At 49.4% G+C, this 23,874-nt stretch overlaps 2 long non-coding RNA genes across 2 annotated transcripts, besides 1 other annotated feature; one reads left to right on the forward strand and one right to left on the reverse strand.

The window, feature by feature from the left end:
* Positions 10,461-12,449, forward strand: LOC105372645 (uncharacterized). Its single transcript, XR_936815.3, has 2 exons — positions 10,461-10,605; positions 11,071-12,449. It is a non-coding gene; the product is annotated as an uncharacterized LOC105372645 (long non-coding RNA).
* Positions 12,450-15,069: 2,620 nt separating this feature from the next.
* LOC107985439 (uncharacterized) lies at positions 15,070-22,084 on the reverse strand. The gene is made up of 2 exons (XR_001754657.1): positions 21,983-22,084; positions 15,070-18,394 (listed from the first exon to the last, which is right to left on the reverse strand). It is a non-coding gene; the product is annotated as an uncharacterized LOC107985439 (long non-coding RNA).
* Positions 21,766-21,835: an enhancer, noted in NCBI's record as "active region_18019". NCBI's record gives its function as "activates an Ori minimal core promoter by ATAC-STARR-seq in GM12878 lymphoblastoid cells {active_cell/tissue: GM12878}" and the evidence as "EXISTENCE:reporter gene assay evidence [ECO:0000049][PMID:35858748]".
* Positions 22,085-23,874: the final 1,790 nt, after the last annotated feature.

Raw genomic sequence — 23,874 nt, forward strand, 5'->3', positions numbered from 1 at the left:
AGTGAGGGAAGAAGCCATTGGAAGGTTCAGGGCAGTGAGCCGAGATGTGAGTGACATGATCTGATTTGCATCTGCCTCCGTCATGACTTTCGAAATAGCTGCATCTCATCTATATTCTGATCTAGTCAAAATTTATCTCTAAATCAGTTACATTTTTAGAATTTTTTAAAGGAACTTTGATATTCCACTACTGCAAATGAAAAATCAGTATCACTTCCATGAATAGAAGAGTATCCATGAAAACACACAACAAAAACAGAGCCGTGTTATTACTTTCTAGCCAGAGGCTGCTAAAGACGATGCACCTGAAACCTGTGCTCCCTTTGTAACCACCCAAGGGGTTCACCTTGCCCACTGCCTAGACTGAGCCGACTTATCAAGACAGGGGAAATTGCAATGGAGAAAGTAACCCATGCAGAGCCGGCTGTGCGGGAGACTGGAGCTTTATTGTTACTCAAATCAGTCTCCCTGAGCATTCGGGGATCAGAGTTCTTAAAGATAATTTGGTAAGTAGGCGCTCAGAAAGTGGGGAGAGCTGATTGGTCAGGTTGGAGATGGAATCATGGGGGTAGAAGTGAGGTTTTCATGCTGTCTTCTGTTCCTGGGTGGGACGGCGGAACTGGTTGAGGCAGATGACCGGTCTGGGTGGTGTCAGCTGATCCATCAAGTGCAGGGGCTGCAAAATATCTCAAGCGCTGATCTTAGGTTTTACAACAGTGATGTTATTCCCAGGAGCAATTTGGGGAGGTTCAGACTCTTGCAGCCAGAGGCTGTAATTTGTTAGTCCTGCAAAGGCAGACGGCTCCCCAGGCAAGAAAAGGCTATAACCAATTTTGTTTGAGTCAAATCATGAACTGAATTCTTTCTCAAAGTTAGTTTGGCCTGTGCCCAGCAAGGAACAAGGGCAGTTTAAAGGTTAGAAGCAAGATAGAGTCAGTTAGGTGTGATGTCTTTGACTGTCATAATTTCCTCAGTTATAATTTGTGTGAAGGCAGTTTCACCTTTGTCTCTCTCAAGCAGTAGAGAGGTATTGAAGTCACATGAGCATTGAACTGAAACTATCTCCATGACTATCTCAGAGAGACTGAAAGACACTGGGCAAGGGAATACATTTCACACTGTGGGATTCCACAGCGTTTCATGCTGGTTCAGGAACCACCCAAAATCATCTCACATATTCACATATCATTTTTTTTTTTTTTTTGAGACGGTGTTTCGCTCTTTCACCCAGGCTGGAGTACAGTGGCGCGATCTCGGCTCACTGCAACCTCCATCTCCCGGGTTCAAGCGATCCTCCTGCCTCAGCCTCCTGGGTAGCTGGTGTTATAGATGTCCGCCACCATGCCCAACTAATTTTTGTATTTTTAGTAGAGACGGAGTTTTGCCACGTTGGCCAGGCTGGTCTTGAACTCCTAACCTCAGGTGATCCACCTGCCTCAGACTCCCAGAGCGCTAGGATTACAGCTGAGAGCCACAACGCCTGGCCTATCTCACGTATCTTTGGTGGGCACCCCTCCACTCTTTGGGGAAACACCATTTTGAAATACAGTATATTTTCAATTTGATATTTAAGGTCCTCAAGGGAACAAAATCATAAGATTTTTATCTTTTCCTCCTCAAACACATGGTGGTAAATGCTTCATAGATATTCATCTCTACCCTTTACCTTCAGAAGCCATGGGGATGTTGCTTTGGTTTTGGTTTTGGGTTTTGCTGGAGCGTTTGGGTGTTTATCTTTTGCATAGTTGTTTAGGAGATAACCATGGGCTACAGGAGAAGGAGAGACGTTTTTGCACTACTTTTCTTTCCCCTGACCATCCTGATGGGCATAATTGCTACTGCACCAGCCTCATCCTTTCTCCCGGGTCCACTCCTGCCCTTTCCAGCCTGTTGTCCATGTGGCAGCCAGAGAGCTCATTGTGGAGTGTGAAGGTCACAGTGCCCCCTGCTCAGACATCTATGATGCTCATGACATTGCACGAAACCCTCCTTCCTCATCATGGCACTCAAGACTGCTCCCTGCCAGCCTCTCTGTCCTGCTCCAACCTCAGGGCACCCCAAACAGACCTTCTCTCTGACCTTTGAACTTGCTGAACCCTTTTCCACCTCAGGGCGTTTGCACTGTCTCTTCCCTCTGCCAGGAACACTGCCCCAGAGTTTTACACAGCTGTCTTTTTCTGATCCTCCAGGCCTCAAATGCCACCTCTTCAGAGAGATCCTCCTGGTCACTTCATTAATGTGGCCCCCAGCTGAGTCACTGTCAGCCCCAGGCTCCATTTATCTCCTTTACAGCACCTACCGCTGCAGGTCAGAGTCTAATTCATCTGCGAGTTTGTGTCTTCACTGTCACCCTCCACCGGTGCCATGAGATGGGAACACGTCTGTGCCCTGATGAAGCCCAGCACGGGCACCATGCCTGGCACGGAGGAGGCACTTAGGCAGTGCTTCTTACATATGCACCTCAGGGAATGGGGCCAGCGGTGGTCTTTCCAGGTTCTCTACCCTTCCCTCCCCACCCAAATGTGTGACATTCAGAGACAGAGACACTGGAGTCATCCTAACTGCTCCCCTCCTGGTCATCAGATCCCAGACCCACAGGACAGGGATGTCTGAGGAGGCCCCTCTGGGAGGTGTTCATGGCTGTGAATCACTGTAGAAGGGAACGAGCTGGGCAGCTGGTGCCCTTCATCTGGGTCAGAGCCAGGCGGAGATTTGAAGGGAATCCTTTGGCAAAGAGCAAGCAAACCTCCCAGGGATGGCGACTTGTCAGATGTCAGCGAGTCTGGAAACCAGCAATCACTCCTAATCCAAGAATCAGCCTGAGGGGGCCTGAAGGGGTCCTGCAGGCCTTCATGTCACCTTCTGCAGACCCCATGTTGAAACCCCATGTTGAAACCAGCCTCGACGCCAGGAATCTCTCATTAGGTATAAATGTCGTCTTAAAAGATTCCTTCACTTCTTCCACCACCCATCCTGAAGACAGACAATTAATCTGGCAAATGCTGACTGGTGCCTACTCTGTGCCAGGCTGCACCCTCAGCATAGGGGGGATGTGGAAACAAAACAAGCTCCTTGCACCCCTGAGCTCAGCAGGTCACTGGGGAAGACTGTTGCTAAGCAAGTGACGACAGAAAGCAGAGAAGTCATTTCCAACAGCAGCAGAATGAAGCAGACTCATGTGATCCAAAGTGTCATGGGGTTGCATGTGTCAGTGTGAGCAATTGGGAAAGGCTCCTGAGGGTGGGGGTTTGGAGCAGAGACGTGAAAGATGAGAAGGGGAAAAAGGGAAAGCGACTCAGGCTGGAACTGGTATGACAGTGCCATGTCTGTGGATAAAGAGCAGGCCGTGTGGACACTGCAGCAAGCCCAGCAGAAAGCGGGTCATGATGGGGCCCGAGGAGCCAGCAGGACCCCATGACCCTGGGCCACAGTGCCCATGGTCAGGTCTGGGATTTCATCCAAAGCGTAATGGGAGGATTTGTAGCTTGAGAAATTTTAAACATCCATTTAGCTACGGTACTGAGAATTTACAACAGGGTATGAGAGAGGAATCCAGAGGCCCCTTGAGGAGGCTGTTGGCATCCACCAGAAGAGAGGCCAGACCAGGTGACCACATGGGAATGGCAGACAGAGAAGGCTGATCTTTGGGGCTTTCTAGTGACTAATTTGCCTCCTCTGAGCCCCTTCTCATTCCTTCTCTTGTTCTACACCTAGAGCATTTTATTTATTTATTTATGAGACGGAGTCTCACTCTGTCACCCAGGCTGGAGTGCAGTGGCACGATCTCGGCTCACTGCAAGCTCTGCCTCCCGGGTTCATGCCATTCTCCTGCCTCAGCCTCCCAAGTAGCTGGGACTAACAGGCACCCGCCACCATGCCCGGCTGATTTTTTGTATTTTTAGTAGAGACGGGCTTTCACTGTGTTAGCCAGGATGGTCTTGATCTCCTGACCTCGTAATCCGCCCGCCTCGGCCTCCCAAAGTACTGGGATTACAGGCATGAGCCACCGCGCCCAGCCACCTAGAGCAGTTTTGAACAATCCATCATCAACCCGAAGACCATTCTGAAGCCCCCTCCCCTCCACCTCCTCACAGTCTCTGCTGCAGATAAAATCGCACACACCCGTTAACCTTTCTGCTGAGAAGTTATCATCAGCCCTTTCATCAGTGCAGCAGCTCTCAGCCGGCTCTGAAAGGCTTGAAATTGTACATCCATTTAAATGCCTCGCACTTTCCTAGGATTTGTTAATCACTGTTTTTCCACCCAAACATGAAAAGAGGTTATAAGAGGTGTTCGATTGAAATTGCCTGTGTGTGACAAATGTCAGAGCATTTCCAAAGCTATTCTCTTTAGTGGAACCTTTTTATAAGGCCCAGCTCAGTGTCTGGGATTAAGTAGGTGTTAAGTTTTCTTACTGCTGCCTCACAGATTACCACAAACTTAGCAGCTTAGAGCAACACATGTTTATTATTTCACAGTTTCTAGGGGTCAGGAGTCTGGGCATGGCTCAACTGGGTCCTCTACCCCAGGGGGTCTTGCAGGTGATCATCAAGGTGTTGGCCAAGGGTGGAGGCTCAGCGGACGAAGCCACCAGGGAAGGTTCTGCTCCCAGGCTCACATGGCTCTGGGCAGGAGTCAGGTCCTGGTAGGCCTCAGAATGGGGGCTTTAGTCCCTTGCAGGCTGTTGGCCAGAGGTCACCCTCAGTTCCTGGCCACAAGCATTTTTCCAATATGACAACTTCTTCATCGAAGCAAAGGAGTCAGCTAGCAGCAAGACAGAAGTCACGACCTTCTGTGACATAACCACAGGAGTGGCATCCCATTTGATTTTCCATATTCTATTGCTTAGGATCAAGTCACAGGCCTCATCTACACTCAAGGGGAAGGGGTCACACACAGGCATGAATACCAGGAGAGGGAGACTTTGGGGGGTATCTTAGAGGTTCAAATATAAAGTAAAACTTGAAGAAAAAATTTTAACATCACCACTGACACAATCAACTAAAGATGAGCAATGTTATTTTGGTGTATGGCTTACCTGGATGGATGGATAGATGGGTGGATGAATGGATTGATGGATGGCCAAATGGAAGGATGGACGGATGGGTGGATGGATGGATGGTTGGATGGATGGATGGATGGATGGATGGATGGATAGGTGGATGGATGGATGGTTAGATAGAGCAACCTAATAAAAACATATCACACAAGACACACATGTGCTTTTTGTCTTATGAAAATGGAATAGTGGTTTTAATACATACAGATGTAAACCCGCCTCGTGTACACTCAACAATATTTTATCAACTTGACAATGAGAACTCTGCATATCAACATTATTGTTTTTTAGCACTGGCATTTATGGATGTACCACAATGTATTCAATGAATTTTGTGTTTTAATCAAGTTAGGATGTGAGTCAGCTTCATCTAGCAGAGCTCTAACTTCAACTAAGACAAAAGTGTATTTTTCACAGAAACCAAAGCTGGAGCTTGACAGTCTAGTGTGTATACAAAATTTGAGGGACCCTGTTTTTTTTCCAGTGAACTGTTCTGCACTTCCTAGGATGTGAATCTCACCTTCACAGAACAAATTGATGGGAAGAGCACCAACCATCACATCCATAGGCCAAGGAGGAGAGAGGAAACAAAAAAATAAGAAATGAGGCAGAAGATAGATGTAAGGTTTCAAAAAATGCCACACAACACTTTCATTACTTTGCATTGGTCAGAATCTGGTCACATGGTCACAGCTTGCTGCAAGGGAGGCTGGGAAAACGTAGCAAGTGTCCAGCCACTGGGGAGAGAGGAGCACCGGAGGAAGGGCAGGAGGCTACCAGCAAGCATTTAGGCTTCCTACTTTCTTCTTATAAACATCTTTAGAGATTCATCTTTGCATATTTTTCTGACTATTTCCTAGGGATAAATGCCTATAAATGGAATTCAGGACTAAAAGATATGCGGCACTTTCACTGGCCAATTGCCAATTGCCCTCTAGAAAGGTTGTACCAATGAACTCACCCAAGAGGTGGGGTTCTATTTCATGAAATGTTTCTCCACCCCACATTTCCTTTTAATCCACACCCTTTGGCCTTTATTAGGCTTACACATCTCTTCAGAATCCTTGCTTCCTACATCATAATCTTGGGATTTAATACATGTTTTTCGTTCAGGTTATTATTAATATCAGATTTATCTGGCTGTGTGTGAGCCCAGCCACAGCTTTAGGGAAAGAGATGTATCTTTCAGTGGTGAAGAGAATAAAAATCAAAAATCCTCAGAGATTTGAAACTGAAGTGGGCAGGGAAGGGTGGAAAGAACAGATCTCATTCTATGAAGAGCATGGAGGGATTTTCACAGAGCATGTAGTGCTGAGTACAGCAGACCAAGCACCCGGGGACACCCAGAGAGCAGCCTTTCCTCAACAGAAGAGGAGTGAGCACCACACAGAGTTGCAGAAAGGGAATCCCAGACAGGGGTAACAGCAGATACAAAGACACTACAGCAGGCACTGACTTGGCCTGCTGGAGGAGCAGAAAGGAAGCCAGTGTGTCTGGAGTAGAGGGGACCAACTTGTCCAGGTTTGCCCAGAACTCTCTTGGTTTTAACACTAGAAATCTTATGTCCCAGGAAACTTCTGAGTTACAGCCAAGCTGGGATGATTTGTCCAGAACTGCCCCTGTTTTAAAATGGAAAGGTCTGTGTCCCACAAACCCCCTCAGTCCTGAGCAAGCTGAGGCAGTAGGTCACCTTATGCTGGAGAAATGTGTGCAAGGGTGGGCAGAACAAGTGACTCTCTCCCATGTCCTCTCTCCCCTTAGCCACAGGAGTGACAAATCTGGGTACCGACATCCAGGATGAAGACTACATTTCCCAGCATCCCTTGCAGCAAACAGAGGTCATGTGACCAGGCTGTGGTCACTGGGAGGTTAGGCCTGTGCACAGTGGCTGCCTTTAGAGGAAGGAAGGTTTGTGCCCTCTTGTTCTCTTCTCCCCTCCCTGCTGGCTGGCAGGAGACAGGATGGACACTGGGCGGGGGAAGCCACACTCTAAGGAAGTCAGACTAACAAGATAGAAGGAGGCTGAGACCCTGAAAACTGCAGAGAAGAATCACTTGATTAGCTTTGACTTTCTTGTGAAACAGGAATGAACCTCCACCTTGGCTAAGCCACTGTGATCCAGGGTCCTTGGTCACATTCACTGAGGCCATAATCTAATTGGTAGAAAGAAAGGAAGGGGAGGGGAGATGGAGTCAGAGAGGCAGGCAGAGGTCAGATCACATCTGGCCTGTAGGCCAAGGCAGAGGAAGAAACAGGTGACCCAGGACTCAAGGACTGCACCTGCTCCCAGGCAAAGGGAGTTTGCCCTGGGTGCCCCTCCCTGTCTGCTGGAATAAGCAAATTTTACCCACTTCCCTTAGGACTTTGCAAGATGCACATCAGTCACAGGTGCTTGTCTCCTAAGGGTCCTTTCAGGTGAGCTGCCCCAACAGTGAGACTGTGACTAGAGCAGGAAAGAACCCTTGTGTGCATCCCCTCTGAGCACTGGGAGGTGTGGTTGTAGCGGCTGCTGTTACTCATCCTGACTGATACACAGACACCGCTGGTAGCCCTCTCTCCTGGAAACGCCATGTAAGTTAGGTGAGGCATGACCCAGGAAAGCTCTCAAGCTGACTTCCCTTCTATCCCCAGGGCCGCTGAGCAGGACCCACATTATCTAAGATCAGTTGGACACCTGTACACCTGCATGGCCTGGAGCAGGTGCCAGGCACTGTGGATGATGAATGCGAGAACGGCATCATCCCTGCCCTCCTGCAGGTAACTGTCTGGTCTGCTCAGACTGTGAGATTCCTCCACAACCACCTCCTCACACACAGCTCACTCATGCCAAGCAGGAAGCAGAGCTTGGGATCGCCTGACCCACTTGCCCTCACCTGGGAGCAACTTATGTAACAACACATGTAGTTCACACAGGGCTGACGGTTCCAGCTTCCAAGACACCCCAAGGCTTCCTTGGCTGCTTGGTAATCAGACCAGGTATGTGCAAAGAGGCATGACTCTATTTTCACTTAACTGAAAAAACCACACCAGCAAAGAGAGCATCCATGTTCAGTGGCCCTTTCTCCCCCCAATAGTGACCATTAACCTTTAAAAAGATGCTTTATGAGTCATTTGCCAAACCTCCTTCTTCATGCCAAGGTGTAATGAGGCTCATAAATAGGCCAGACTTGAGAGGGGACAAACACGAGAAATGCCACCAATGAGAGCCCCAGGCAGAGCAGGTCTCAGGGCTGCCCAGCCATGTGTGTGCCAAACATGGATGTGTCAGTGGCCATGCCAGGAGTTAAGCCCTCAGCCATGGGCCTCTGGGTGGCCAAGGCCAAGTCTTATTCAACAGGTGAGTTCAACTGAGCCAACCGTGGCAGAAATACATAGGGGAGACGATGGCTCCTCTGGTTAAATCCCCTGCTAATTCCACCTGGCTCAGAGGAGGAACCAAGTCCTCATAATAGCTTGCAAGTCCCACCTGACTCGGCCTCCTCTCAGCTCAGATTCTCCGTGCCCCTCTACCCTTCTCTGTCTCCTCTCCCACCACAGAGAGGGGATCCTACAGGTTCATCCTGGTGGATTCAAAACCCATCTTTGTTACACAGTCACCAAATGAATGTGCATAAACCATAAACAGCCCTCTTGAAAAAGAGAAAGGCAGGCCGGGCTCAGTGGCTCATGCCTGTAATCCCAGCACTTTGGGAGGCCGAGGAGGGTGGATCACCTGAGGTCAGGAGTCTGAGACCAGCCTGGCCGACATGGTAGAACCCCTTCTCTACTAAAACCATGAAAATTAGCTGGGCATTGGTGGCATGCACCTGTAGTCCCAGCTACTCTGGAGGCTGAGGCAGGAGAATCGCTTGAACACGGAAGGTGGAGGTTGAAGGAGTAGAGATCATGCCACTTCACTCCAACCTGGGTGACAGAGCGACACTCTGTCTCAAAAAATAATAATAATTTAAAAAGAAAAAGGCAAAAATTATGGCCGGGCACGGTGGCTCATGCCTGTAATCCCAGCACTTTGGGAGGCCGAGGTGGGCGGATCACAAGGTCAGGAGATCGAGACCATCCTGGCTAACACGGTGAAACCCTGTCTCTACTAAAAATACAAAAAATTAGCCAGGCAAGGTGGCGGGCGCCTGTAGTCCAAGCTACTCGGGAGGCTGAGGCAGGAGAATGGCATGAACCCGGCGGGGCAGAGCCTGCAGTAAGCCGAGATGGCACCACTACACTCCAGCCTGGGTGACAGCGAGACTCCATCTCAAAAAAAATAAAAGAAAAAAGAAAAAGGCAAAAATTCAAACAGCTAAACAGAAACTGGACAAAAGAGTTGAACCAGCCCTTCACAGAAGGGGAAATGTGAAGGAATGGCCAACAAACACATGAAGAGGGTCTCAGCCTAACAGGATGAGGTACCACGTGACACCCACCAGACTGGCAAAAATCCCACAACCCAAGAAATGCAAGGGTTGGGGAGAATGGAGAGCAACAAGAACACTCAGCCACTGCTAAGAAAGGTTGTGAACTTTTGTTGTTGTTGTTATGCTTCCATATGAAAGGCTGTGTGTTGTGGGTTATGAGGAAAATTACATTTCTTAACTGGGATGAAATTTTAAAAATTGAAAGCTACTGACCAGAAGAAACTTGCATTTGTGTACAAAAGAAATGCCCAAGAACGTTCTAGCAACACAGTCCTAAGGGCCCAACCTGCCCAAACCCTCATCCACAGGAAAATGAAGACATTTCCCACGTTCCCCTCATACCACGGGCGATCACGCAGCAATGAAAATGAACCATGTCAGTGTGGATGGGTCTCAGGAAGAGAATGCAGGACAAAAATAGACATCGAGCAAATGCAAATGCTCAGACCCAATGCAGCATAGGAGCAGCCACACAGGAGAATTTCTTCACATCCAAGTTCAAAACTACAGCCGAGGCAACAGAGCAAGACCCTGTCTCAAAAAGACAACAGAAAGTTCAAACACTAAATGGCATATTGTTTAGGGATGTACACATACGTGGTGAAAGAAACGTGCTATGAAGAAAAGTACGGGATTAATAAAGACTAAAGTGGAAAGTGATTCCCTCTGCAGAAGGGAAGGGACTGGGATTCGGGAGGGGCCGCCAGGGAACATCCACAGTTATGTCTCTTCAGATTCTGTTCCCTAAACTTGGTGGAGGTCCTGTGTGTCCAGTGTGTCGATGTTCTTTATACCTTGCCCATATTGTACAAATGCTTTTTTCTATTTAATATTTAGAAGACAGTTATACACAAGATGCATTAAATAGCAAGATGGCAGATGAACATCAGGAAGGAACATTAGGAACATCCATGGTGTTCCATCCAGGAACCTTCACCATGGAAACCCCTGTGCTCATGGGCCTGGTCTCAAGACACAGTCAGTTGGGGATCAGAGGCCACACTCATCGTAGCAGAGAGGCAGGAACAGCTGGGCGAGGGTCCTTCTGTGACATCTACTGCATCACTGGGCTCTGTGAAGTGACTCAGCTGCCAGAACTCACACAATATTCTGCACCAAAACCTCACGGGAAAAATGGTAAGTTTGAAGTTTCTCCATTAGTAGCAACTCTCAGATTAATCTCTGTCCTCCATCGCTTCTCCATGAAACAACGTTTTATACCTTTGCTTGGGTCTATTTTTCCATTTATTTTTTATTTTACTAACTGATTGAAAGATATATACTGTACGTGTGTGATTTTGTCTCTATCAGCCAGGATAATCATGGTTTAATTCCTATTATTATTATTACCAACATCCTTTAGTTTTTTTAAGCTTTTCAATTCCTAAGGGTAATCAAGTTCTTTCTGCCTCCTGAGACAGAAAACAAATCCAAACTGTGCAAGAGAAAAACGAATGCATTGATCACTAGGACTCACAAGTTCCCAGGTTTAATCTGCTTGAGAAACAGTTACACCAATGGTTTCAAGTGGCATCCTGTGATTCATTCTCTCTCTCCTCCTCTCTTCTCTCTCTCCTTACCCAACACCGGCACCATATTTAGCATCACGAACCTCAGACTTAAACAGCACAACAGGCTCCTCCCAGGTCTCCAGCTACACAACCCTCAGACTTAAACAACAGCAGCGGCACCAGCTCCTCCCTGGGTCTCCAGCTCCACAAACCTCAAATTAGAACAGCAGCACTGGCTACACCCAGTCTCCAGCTCTACACCTCTAACTTGAACTACAGCCACCAGCTCCTTCCTGGGTCTCCGGCTCCACAGACCTTAAACGAAAACAGCAGCACTGGCTCCTCCCCAGGTCCCCAGCTACAGACCCTCAAACAAGAAGAACAGCAGCACCAGCTCCACCTAAAGTCTCCAGCTCCACACCTCAAACTAGAACTTCAGCACCCGCTCCTCCCCGAGTCTCAATATCTGTGACCCTCAAAATAAAACAGCAGGACCAGCTCCTCCTCTGGTCTTCAGCTTCACGACCTTAACTGTAACAGCACCACCCGCTCCTCCGGGGTCAACAGCTCCGACGCTAAAACTAGAACAGCAGACCAGCTTCTACCTAAAACACCAGCTCCGAGACTCTCAAACAAGAACAGCAGCACTGACTTCTCTCACCAGGTCTCCAGCTCCACGATCCTGAAACTTGAACGGCAGCACCCGCTCCTCCCCGGGTCTCCAGCTCCACGAACCTCAAACTTGAACAGCAGCACCCGCTCCTCCCAGCGTCTCCAGCTCCATGAACCTCAAACTTGAACAGCAGTACCCGCTCCTCCCCGGGTCTCCAGCTCCACGAACCTCAAACTTGAACAGCAGCACTCGCTCCTCCCAAGGTCTCCAGCTCTGCGAACCTCAAACTTGAACTGCAGCACCTGCTCCTCCCCGGGTCTCCAGCTCCACGAACCTTAAACTAAAACAGCAGTACTCACTCCTCCCCAGATCCCCAGCTGCAGACCCTCAAGCTGCAACAGCAGCACCATCTCCTCTCCAGGTCTCCAGCTCCATGGACCTTAAACTAGAACAGCAGCACCAGCTCCTCCTTGGGACAACAGCTCCAAGACCCTCAAACTACAACAGCAGCCCTGACTCCTGCCCAGGTTTACAGCTCCACAAACGTCAAACTTGAACTTCAGCACTAGCTGAAGTCTCCAGCTCCCTGACCCTCAAACTAGAACAGCAGCACCATCTCCTCTCTGGGTCTCCAGCTCCACGAACCTCAAACTTGAACTGCAGCACCTGCTCCTCCCTGGATCTCCAGCTCCACGGACCTTAAACTAAAACAGCAGTACTCGCTCCTCCCCAGGTCCCCAGCTGCAGACCCTCAAACTGCAACAGCAGCACCATCTCCTCTCTGGGTCTCCAGCTCCATGGACCTTAAACTAGAACAGCAGCACCAGCTCCTCTCCTGGTCTCCAGCTCCAGGACCCTAAAACTAGAACAGCAGCACCAGCTCCTCCTTGGGACAACAGCTTTAAGACCCTCAAACTACAACAGCAGCCCTGACTCCTGCCCAGGTTTACAAACCTCAAACTTGAACTTCAGCACTGGCTGAAGTCTCCAGCCCCATGACCCTCAAACTAGAACAGCAGCACCATCTCCTCTCTGGGTCTCCAGCTCCATGGACCTTAAACTAAAACAGCAGCACCAGCTCCTCCCGAGGTCCCCATCTACAGACCCTCAAACTACAGCAGCACCAGCTCCACCCAAAGTCTCCAGCTCCCCACCTCAAACTAGAACTCCAGCACCCGCTCCTCCCCGAGTCTCAATATCCGCCACTCTCAAACAGCAGCACCGGCTCCTCCCCTGGTCTTCAGCTTCACGACCCTAACTATAACAGCACCACCCGCTCTTCCGGGGTCAACAGCTCCAAGACTCTAAAACTAGAACAGCAGACCAGCTTCTACCCAGGTCACCAGCTCCGAGACTCTCAAACTAGAACAGCAGCCTTAACTTCTCGCCAAATCTCCAACTCCACGACCCTTAAACTTGAACTGCAGCACTTGCTCCTCCCCAGGTCCCCAGCTACAGACCCTCAAACTAAACAGGAGCACTGACTTCTGCCCACATATCCAGCTCCACGAACCTCAAAGTTAAACTTCAGTACCAACTCCTTCCCGCGTCTCCAGCTCCACGACCCTCAAACTACAATAGCAACACTGGCTCCCCAATCCCAGGTCTCCATCTCCACGACCATCAAACTTGAGTTGCAACACTGGCTCCACCCAAATTCTCCAGCTCCAGGATGCTAACTGTAATAGCAGCACCAGCTCCTCTGCAGGTCACCAGCTCCAAGACTCTCAAACTAGTACAGCAGCACTGACGCCTGCCCAGGTTTCCAGCTCCATGAACCTCAAACTTGAACTGCAGCACCACCTCCTCCCTGGTTCTCCAGCTTCACGACCCTCAAACTAGAACAGCAGCACCAGCTCCAACCAAAGTCTCCATCTCCACGCCTCCAACTTGAACTCCAGCACCAGCTCCTTCCTGGGTCTCATGATCCATGACCCTGAAAATAAAACAGCAGCACCAGCTCCTCTCTAGGTCTCCAGCTCCACGAACCTCAAATTTAAAAAGCAGCCCTGGCTCTAACCCAGGTCTCCAGCTCCACCATCGTCAAACTTGAACGGCAGCACTAGCTCCTCCCAAAGTCTCCAGCCCCACGACCCTAAAACATGAAGAGCAGCATTGGCTCCTCCCCAGGTCTTCAGCTTCACAACCCTAACTCTTACAGCAACACCCGCTCCTCCCCAGGTTGCCAGCTCCAAGACCCTAAAACTAGAACAGCAGACCGGCTCCTACTCAGGACACCAGCTCCAAGACTGTTAAACTAGAACAGCAGCACTGATTTCTCACCAGGTCTCCAGCTCCACGACCCTCACACTGGAACTACAGCAACAGCTCCGCCCAGGTCTCCAGCTCCAGGGACCTTAAACTAAAATAGCAGCACCAGCTCCTCTGCAGGTCCCCAGCTACAGACCCTCAAACTAGAATAGCAGCACCATCTCCTCTCCAGTTCTCCAGCTCCACGACCTTGAAACTAGAAAAGAAACACTGACTCCCCCCCACCACCAATCTCCATCTCCAGGAACATCAAACTTGAACTACAACAGCGGCTCAACCCAAAGTCTCCAGCTCCCCGACACTAACTACAACAGCAGCACCAGCTCCTCCCTGGCTCACCAGCTCCAAGATCCTCAAACCAGAACAGCAGCACTGACTCCTGCCCAGGTCACCAGCTCCAAGACCCTCAAACCAGAACAGCAGCACTGACTCCTGCCCAGGTCACCAGCTCCAAGACTCTCAAACTAGAATAGCCACACTGACTCCTGTCCAGGTCACCAGCTCCAAGACTTTCAAACTAGAATAGCCACACTGACTCCTGTCCAGGTTTCCAGCTCCATGAAACTCAAACTTGAATTGCAACACTGGCTCCTCTCCAGGTCTCCAGCCACTCATCCCTCAAACTGTTGCTCCTCCCTGTGTCTCCAGCTTCATGACCCTCAAACTTGAACTGGGGCACCCGTTCCTCCCCGGGTCTCCAGCTCCACGACACGTGAACTGCAGCACTTGATCCTTCCTGAGTCTCCAGCTCCATGACCCTTATACTTGAACAGCAGCACCAATTCCTGCCCAGGTCTCCAGCCTCATGACCTTCAAATTTAAAAAGCAGAACTGGCTCCAACCCAGGTCTCCAGCTCCACCATCATCAAACTTGAATGGCAGCACTAGCTCGCCACAAAGTCTCCAGCTCCCATGACCCTCAAATGTGAACAGCAGCACTGGCTCCTCCCCAGGTGTTCAGTTTCACGACCCTAACTATTACAGCAACACCTGCTCCTCCCCAGGTCACCAACTCCAAGACCCTAAAACTAGAACAGCAGACCGGCTCCTACCCAGGTCACCAGCTCCAAGACTCTCAAACTAGAACAGCAGCACTGACTTCTTGCCAGGTCTCCAGCTCCATGACCCTCAAGCTTGAACCGCAGCAACAGCTCCACCCAGGTCTCCAGCTCCACAAACCTTAAACAACAGCACCGGCTCCTCCAGAGGTCCCCAGCTACAGACCCTCAAACTAGAACAGGAGCACTGACTCCTGCCCAGATATCCAGCTCCACGAACCTCAAACTTGAACTGCAGTACCAGCTCCTTCCCGGGTCTTTAGCTCCGTGACCCTGAAAATAAAACAGCAGCACTGGCTTTTCCCCAGATCCCCAGCTCCACGACCCTCAAATTTAAAAAGCAGCACCAGCTCCTCCCTGGGTCAGCACCTCCATGACCCTCAAACCTGAACTGCAGCACTGGCTCCTCCCCGGGTCACCAGATCCCAGACCCTCAAACTAGAACAGCAGCACTGACTCCTCCCCATATCTCCAGCTCCATGACCATCAAACTTGAAGACTAGCACCATTTCCTTTCTGGGTCTCCAGCTCCACGACCCTCAGACTTGAACAGCAGTGCCAACTCCTTTCTGGGTCTCCAGCTCCACTATCTTCAGACTTGAACAGCAGCACCAGCTTCTCCCCAGGTCTCCAGCTCCATGACCCTCAAACAGGAACAGCAGCACCGGCTCCTCCCTGGGTCTCCAGCTCCTCAAGTCTGAGGATCATGGAGCTGGAGACCCAGAAAGGCAATGGTGCTACTCTTCAAGTCTGAGGGTCATGGAACTGGAGACCCGGGGAGGAGCTGGTGCTACCGCTGTTCAAGTTTGAGCATCTTGGAGCTGGAGACCCAGGGAGCCGCCACTCGAACGGTAGCTCCTCCCCCAGTCTCTAGCTCCATGACCCTCAAACTCGAAGAGTAGCACCATTTCCTTTCTGGGTCTCCAGCTCCATGACCCTCAGACTTGAACAGCAGCACCAGCTCCTTTCTGGGTCTCCAGCTCTCCTATCTTCAGACTTGAATGGCAACACCAGCTTCTCCCCACGTCTCCAGCTCCACGACCCTCAGACTTCGACAGCAATCCGGCTCTTCCCCTGGTCTCCAGCTCCATGACCCTCAAACTAGAACAGCAGCACCGGTTCCTTTCTGGGTCTCCAGCTCCACGATATTCAGACTTGAATGGCAGCACCAACTTTTCCCTGGGTCTTCAGCTCCATGACCTTCAGACTTGAACGGCAGCACTGGCTCCTCCCCTCTCCAGCTCCATGACCTTCAGACTTGAACGGCAGCGCCGGCTCCTCCCTGGGTCTCGAACCTGCCCAGCCTGCAGATTTTGGACTTGCTAGCCTTCAGGATCACATTAGCCAATTCCTTAAACTCAACCTCTTTCTCTGTATGTAGGATATGGACACCTCCTGCTGGCTCTTTTTCCGGAGAGCCCAGTGAACACACCGTGCATCAGGCTCCATCATTCACCAGAGCGTCTTTCCAACAGACTTTGCTGTGATATTTCTTAAATAAAGGTCACTCCAAAGACCCTCACCTCTGGATTGTAACCAACTCAGTGGCAGACTTAATCCATTTCTATCTGCTGACATTTCTCACATGGAATAGGCTGTTTGACAGATTGAAGCTGTCTCCCCCCACTCCCCAGGCCAGTGCACACTTATCTCCCTTGAATGTTCATTTTGTGCTCATTTTAGAGACTGAGGCACAAAGACAGGCAAATACAAGGTGAAGTCAGTGACAAATAAACAATGCTATTTAGGCATTGAGAGTTTGTTTTTGTGTTTGTGTTTTTTTGCTAATTAATTCCACCTGGTAGAGGAGGGCGAGGGGAAAGAGGAAGGGAGAAGTTTCCTGGCAGGGCTGAGAGGCAGAATGGTGCCTGCACCTCCTGGAGTGCACGGCAATGGTCTGGCTCTGCTGCCTTCTATGGGTAAGGGCCCACCGGTTTTTTTTCTGGGACTTAAGTCACCTGGGCTTATACTGAGCAGCCCTCAGCAAGCTCTTCTCACTTGCCCCTGCCACCCAGAGCTCCAGGATGCCCTAGTTCCTGCCCCTCAAAGACCTGGGACTCCTGCTCCTGGGACCTTCTGGTCGGTTCTGCTTTTCCTTGCTTCAGGACCTTACGTGGATTCTGTCACCTGCCACCTCAGAACTCTGAGCGACACACCCACTGCATGTCACCCAGGACAGGTTCACCCAAGTCTTTCATCCCAAGAAGGTCCTTCCTGGCACCTTGTGGGCTGACAGCATCTCCAGGGAACCACAGGACTTCGAGGGGGCCTGGGAAGCATCAAGAGCTTCAGGAGGGGAGTCTGTCACAGGTGGGGATTACGGAGCCCTGCAGGGACCCTTAGAACAGGTGGGTCGGGGTGGGGCTGAGGTCTCGACGCCTTGATTCAGGTTCCTGGCTTATGTCGACCTGTCTGAAATCTCCCACCCACAGCCAAGCCACTGGCCACCCCACTGCTGCCCTGTGTCACCCTGTTTTGATGGAGAGCTCACCAGGCTCTCCCAGCTGCTCTCCTCTTGGAGCAGGGAGTGTTGGAAGTGGGGGGCTGATCTGCATATGAACGTGGCTCTTAACCAGGTGAGGGGCTTGAAGTCCTCTGGGGCTAATGACTGTTCCATGAATAATGGTCCCTCTTAAAATGTAATTAAACATTTATCAGATGTATTTCTACAGAAACATCCATCTTAAGGGGGGACCGGATTTCCTACCATTCATATCAGTCTCCTGAAATGAGGCAGAGGCACTCCCGGCTCCCCCTCCCCTCCCCGGCCTCAGTTCCCTGGGCCGGATGTCCTGCTGGGGCCTGTGGTGCAGTTTCGGCTGGTTCACCCCATGCAGAGCTTGATGGGGTTGGGTTGGTTTTAATCAGAATGGTAAATTGCAAATGATACAGGGCCTGGGCTCTGTTGGGATACTTGTGTTGACCAAGTCCCTTGTGAATTAAATCATTTAATACTGGAAATGGAAAAGGCCCCCTCATTTTCCTTCTGAATGAGCTGTGAAATAGGCTCTGAGAACGGCCTCCAGAGTGAAGTGGTTGTCAGGGCTTGGCACCAAGATCTGATGAGGGGTCAGAAGACAGGGCACCAGCAGGACAGGGTACTTGGGGAGGCCTATCATGATGCGCAGTAGACGCATCCTGTGTCGGCAGCACCCCAAACTCGGGAGGCTGGCCGGGGTGCAGCTAACATACCTGGGATGTGTGCACTGACTGCATGCCACCTGAGGCACCCTCGGAGCATCTGAGAACCAAAGAATCACTCCTCAGCTTCCCAACCAGGGGACAAGTTTGGGCTCTGGCATGGGACAGCTCTTGTCTGCACTCCGAATCTCTGACCTTTCTCAATGCAGTGCTGGGGTTGACTTGGCAGATGAGGCTGCTGGGACTCAAATCACCTCACTGGCTTGAAGTCGTATTTAATCTGCTCCCAAGAAGGTGGAGCCAAGGACTAGCTGGTCCCAGCCATGAATTCTCTGAAAATTAGAAGAATAACAAAGCATATCAAATAGGATTAACACAAACACTTTTCAACACAGTGCCTGTGAGGCAACAGAAACATGAGCACAGGATGCCCATCAGTGGGGGGCCACCAGGGCCCAATGTCTCCAAAAGCAACTTGCTGGATGTATCAAGAGCTTAAATTTAAAAAGCACTTAATCCCTGATGCAGTTATCACACACATAAGATATTATCTTAAGGAGCTGTTTATAAATGCAAACCAAGATTATGTAGTAATATGATCATTGCCACATAAACTGCAACAGCAAAAGTTGGAAGCAGTACAAATGTCCAGCAACATAGGAATGGAGAAGAGTGCACGGGTTTTCCAGACAGGGAAATATTGAAGGATGATTTGATCATATGCTTGCCTGAAATTTTCAATAGTGTGGAAAGTGCTCGTGATTTCATGTGAAGTGAAAAAAATGGATACAAAAACGTGGATTTTACACTTTTATCACACACACACCCATATTCAGAGGAAATAGTTAAATAAGAGACAGAGCAAGGTACCAACAGTAGTAACATGTCAGTGGTAACATTATAGATGGTTTTCATTTTCTTTTTCATAGTTGTTGGTATGTTTCAAAAATGATCAGGTCTTTGAAAATCAGAAGGAAAATCAGAAGCAAGAGCACCAATTGCTACCAGGTGAAAACCACAATATTCTCTAGCAATTTCTGCAAACTATAGGATCCTTCATAAAATATACAGGTCCTTTAATAATTGATATGTTCAATTTTTCAATAAAAATTCTGATGTAAAATAAGGAAAGAAACATTCAAAGTATTCATTTTGATCTTGTACTCATGTTTGAGAAAGATACAGAGCAGTCAAATTACTTTGGAAAGTGTAAAAATTGGTGGTTTCATTTTAAATTGCTACCTCTAACACCTTCATGTGACTTCAGTAACCTATCTGCTCCCTGACAACCTTAAAGTGCTTAATTACCACAAATTTCTGAAATAAATCTATCATTTGAATAACCTTTGTGAAAATCAGTATTGAGTGCTTTTACATGATTTGATCACAGCAATAGAAACAGTCCCATTTGTCTCTGCACATGCAAATGACTTATTAACATTCAAGTGATGAGTTCACTTTACTGAGATTCCCAAGATATGCATAATCCCCAAACATTACTACCCTCCCTAAAGTCCTTTAATATCATCCCTTTGCTCTAGGACGCCCTGATTCCTCACCAGCTTACATTCCCAGCAGCATCTGGCCGTCTTGCCCTCTCTGCTACCCCTGGCCTTATCACAGTTCCTCAAACTGAACAGGCTCAGCCCAACCCAGCACCTTGGCACTTGCTGTGCTTCGCAGAGCTCCCATCCAGTTCTTGCCCCACTCAGCTCCACCCTGTGGGATGTTCCTTAGTTCCAAGAAGGCACGGCATCCTCCTCACCCCCAGTCCTTTGCACACGCTGTTCCCTTTGCTAAAACATTCTTCCCCTCCCACCACCTGCAGTTACCTGGCTAATTCCTGCTTCCCTTTGATAGACTTTCCCTCCATTCTCAAACCCTATGCCCCAAGCTCCTGTCCCCGACCCAGGATCAAACTCTATAATCCCCCAAATGTTTCCTTTGCAGCATTTTGCACATTCAGTTACTGGATGGTATTTTCATTGAGTCTTTGAATAGTTGGCTTCCCGTCTGGTCTGGAAACTCCATGAGGGCAGAGAATGAAAGTCATGCACTCACCCCAGCAGGTTGCCTGTTAACAAAGATTAATTGAATGACTGGTAGATTTGCACAGCATTTAGGCTTTTGTGCCCTGTGCTGGAATCATTCTGTGCTTGTATATTAAGCCACTTTACCTGAGTGGAATTTCCTTTGTCATACTACCTGCAGGTTTAGTGAAATGACAGTCCCTGTGGAGGACAGAGAAGCCTCCAGCTGCCTCCCTATGCTGGGATGGGAATGGGGGAACAAGACTAGATGGATCCATGAAGGAATGAAACACACCACACAAGAGCACCAGTATCTGTTCACCTGCTACACATCAGTCATTAATGGCATCCAAAAGGAAAAGACCCTTTCTCCTGTATGACATCCATCCCTGTACCTGTCCCAGCCCTGGAACCACCAGAAGGAACAGCGGAGAAGGGGACCCCAAGCCTTAGTTAGAAGTGAGTAGGGGGAGAGGAAAAGCTTGGAATTAAATGTGAGATTAAAATTTAGATTTGGACCAGCCTAGGCTTTTACTACCTGGATGAGAGTGAGAATGATTGATGAGCTTGTTCTTATAAATAGAAGTGGGCCAGGTGTGGTGGGTCACGCCTGTAATCCCAGCACTTTGGGAGGCTGAGGCAGGCGGATCACAAGGTCAGGAGATCGAGACCATCCTGGCTAACACAGTGAAACCCCGTCTCTACTAAAAAAAATACAAAAAAAATTAGCCGGGCATGGTGGCGGGTGCCTGTAGTCCCAGCTACTCGGGAGGCTGAGGCAGGAGAATGGCATAAACCCAGGAGGTGGAGCTTGCAGTGAGCCGAGATCGCGCCACTGCACTCCAGCCTGGGCGACAGAGCGAGACTCTGTCACGAAAAAAAAAAAAAAAAAAAAAAAAGTGAACAAAAGCCCAAGGGATCTTCCCAAAATGTCATCCAGAAGCAGGGGCCTGAGACCTAATAATAGGGCAAGGATTAGGATGAGGCAAGGGAGACACTCACCCCAGGCATAAAATCTAAATGGGTACCAAAAAATTCAATAATCATCATAAATAACATCATAACACAGTACTTTTTAAAACTCAAACTTCATGCAAAAAAACCGATTAACAAAATATTAAAAATTTAAAGACAGGATCCTTTGTGAGGAAGGAGGAGGAGGAGGAAGAAGAAAGACGGAGGAAGAGGAGGAGGAGCAGGGGGAAGGAGGAGGAGGGGGATGAGGAGGAAAGGAGACAGGATTCAAGGCAGCACTTGCACAATTTGGCCTCACTTGCTCACCCTAACCCAGCCCTGCCTCACAGAAGCTACTGGAAGGCAGCTGCTGGAGAAAAGTGAAGCCGTTTCCCACTTGTATTTAGTTCAGACCTTCCGTAAACCAGCTACAGGAGAGACAGTGATGACCCACCTGTGCCAAACAGGGCTGAAATCTACCATCAGGACCACGATAACCGGGTCTGTGTTGCCCGTTCCCAGCTGCGCTCAGACACTTTGACTTAAAGCCTCAGGCCAGGGTTGCTTCTCTCATTGACATTGAGAACTTGTTAAGAGAAGTAAGTCTCAGTTATAGGAAGTCAGATCTTCCCAAGGGATGCAATCAAGGAGTTTATTTATTTAAAATGCAGCTCCGTGTAGGGGTAGGAAAGGGAATGATTCTTTTTTTTTTTTTTTTTTTTGAGACAGAGTCTCGCTCTGTCACCCAGGCTGGAGTGCAGTGGTGTGAGCTCCGCTCACTGCAAGCTCCGCCTCCCAGGTTCACGCCATTCTCCTGCCTCAGCCTCCCGAGTAGCTGGGACTACAGGCACCTGCCACCACGCCCGGCTAGTAGAGACGGGGTTTCACTGTGTTAGCCAGGATGGTCTCAACCTCCTGACCTCGTGATCCACCCACCTTGGTCTCCCAAAGTGAGCTACCGCGCCCGGCCAGGAAGGGAAATTATTCTTATTCTTGTTTTCATCTTGATTCATTTTCTCTGTTGTGTCATCTCTGGCCATGAGCCTGTCACTTCTGTAATAAAAGAGCAGCAGTCAATAGGGTTCTATTTGGAGGGGAAAGTACAGGCTGCCCATCAACATGCTCAGGTTTCTCCCAGATCAGCCCCAAGGAGCAAGAACGGCCAGCTTACAAGGACAGGTCTGTATTCTGTGGATGGGCCAGAAAGAGGGTATGCAGCGAGGGAATGGTAATAACGTAGGAGAAAATGGCCAGGGTCACAGCCTGGTTTGTCCCCTTCTCACTGGGGGCCTGCAGAAGGCTGGTCCAAGCCAGCGACATCCGTGCATAGGGGTCAAAATGGACTGGGACCCTTCATTTGCTTCCTGGTGTCTTGAGATAGCCTCCCACCCACCAGCCCCACTGTGGGTCCCTGCACTGGCTTCACCAAGAAGAAACTGGGAGGCTGAGGGGCTGACCTGCGGGGAGATCTTTTACTCAGTCCCTGTGGACCTGTTGAATGTTTAACTTATCCTTAAAAAACATGCCTGCCTCTTTGCATGTCTAACTGTCATAAGGAACATGTGCTACTTTGCTAAAGAAGGAAAACATCACTCCAGACCACCTGTGCATTTAGTAAACAACAATTCGCAGCCCAGAGCAGTGGGTTTGCTGCTGCTGCAGAAAACAAAAGCTCAAAACCCAGGTGGAGCCTTCAAAGGCCACCTGGCTCCAAATTCACCCTCGGAATTCACTAACTGGTGTGTCTGGAGCTGTTTCTTTTTTGGTGTCTGGTGTCAGGAAAGAGAAGACACAGGGACACCAGTTGGCGGCTTAATCACATCAGACCCAAACCTCAGTTCTGTGTGTCCCATCTAGACGCCACTGGGGCTGAATGAACCACGAGCTGCTGCCCTGAGCAGGGAGTCGAATCCATCCTTGATCAGATGGCTGAAGTCGCGCACACCCTCTAGGGCCCTGCATGGGGGTGGGGAATCACCCGTTGGTTTTATCTCACAGCAGGGATGACCCCTCACTGGGCACCCCAGCTCAGACCTCAAGGGAAACAGGCCTGAGGAAAGATGGGTGGAAGGATGGGGCCCCTGGTGGGAGGACTCACAGGGTAAGAGACCCCACCCACTTAGGCAATTCACACTCGGGGTCTTTGGGGCCCTCGAAGGAAACCGTTGGTTCACAGTGAACACAGACAGGTCCAGCTATTCAGGATCACAATTATCTGCAGCAGGGACAACCACCCACTGCCAAAAGATGAATTCAGTAAGGCAGAAACTTTAGCTCATGATGAATTTCTTACTGAAAATGATTTCTATAATCATGTTTTATTTACCTGTATTTAAAGATTAAAGTTTCAATATGGCACCTTAATTCCTTAACAAAGAGAAAGAATGCATATCTTGTGGTAACGGGGACCAGCAGCTCCATGAATCAAAGCTTTCTGTGGCTCGATCTAGTTCAGGGTATGAGTGATACATTTAATGTGCCAGCAAAAGCCTCTGGTAAACAGGGAGCAGCGTTACAGCCAGCAGAGCCCAAGGGCTTGCCGGAGCTGATGGAGATTTAAGGGAGCAGGTTCGAGCTCCTCCTGAGGCAGAATGAGCGGAAGGCTCTCTCCGTCTCCTGAGTGTCAGGCTGGACTCAAAAGGGAGAGAAAATTGTTTAAATGAAACAAAACACTGTCATTGCAATGTGACATTCTCTTCCCTTTTTTTTCCTTTTTTTTTTTTTTTTTTGGACACAGGTTCTTGTTCTGTCACCCACCCAGGCTGGATTACAGGGGCATGATCTTGACTCACTGCAGCCTCAACCTTCCAGGCTCAGATGATCCTCCT

This window comes from Homo sapiens, chromosome 20 (assembly GCF_000001405.40).
Source record: "Homo sapiens chromosome 20, GRCh38.p14 Primary Assembly".
Lineage (NCBI taxonomy): Eukaryota > Metazoa > Chordata > Mammalia > Primates > Hominidae > Homo > Homo sapiens.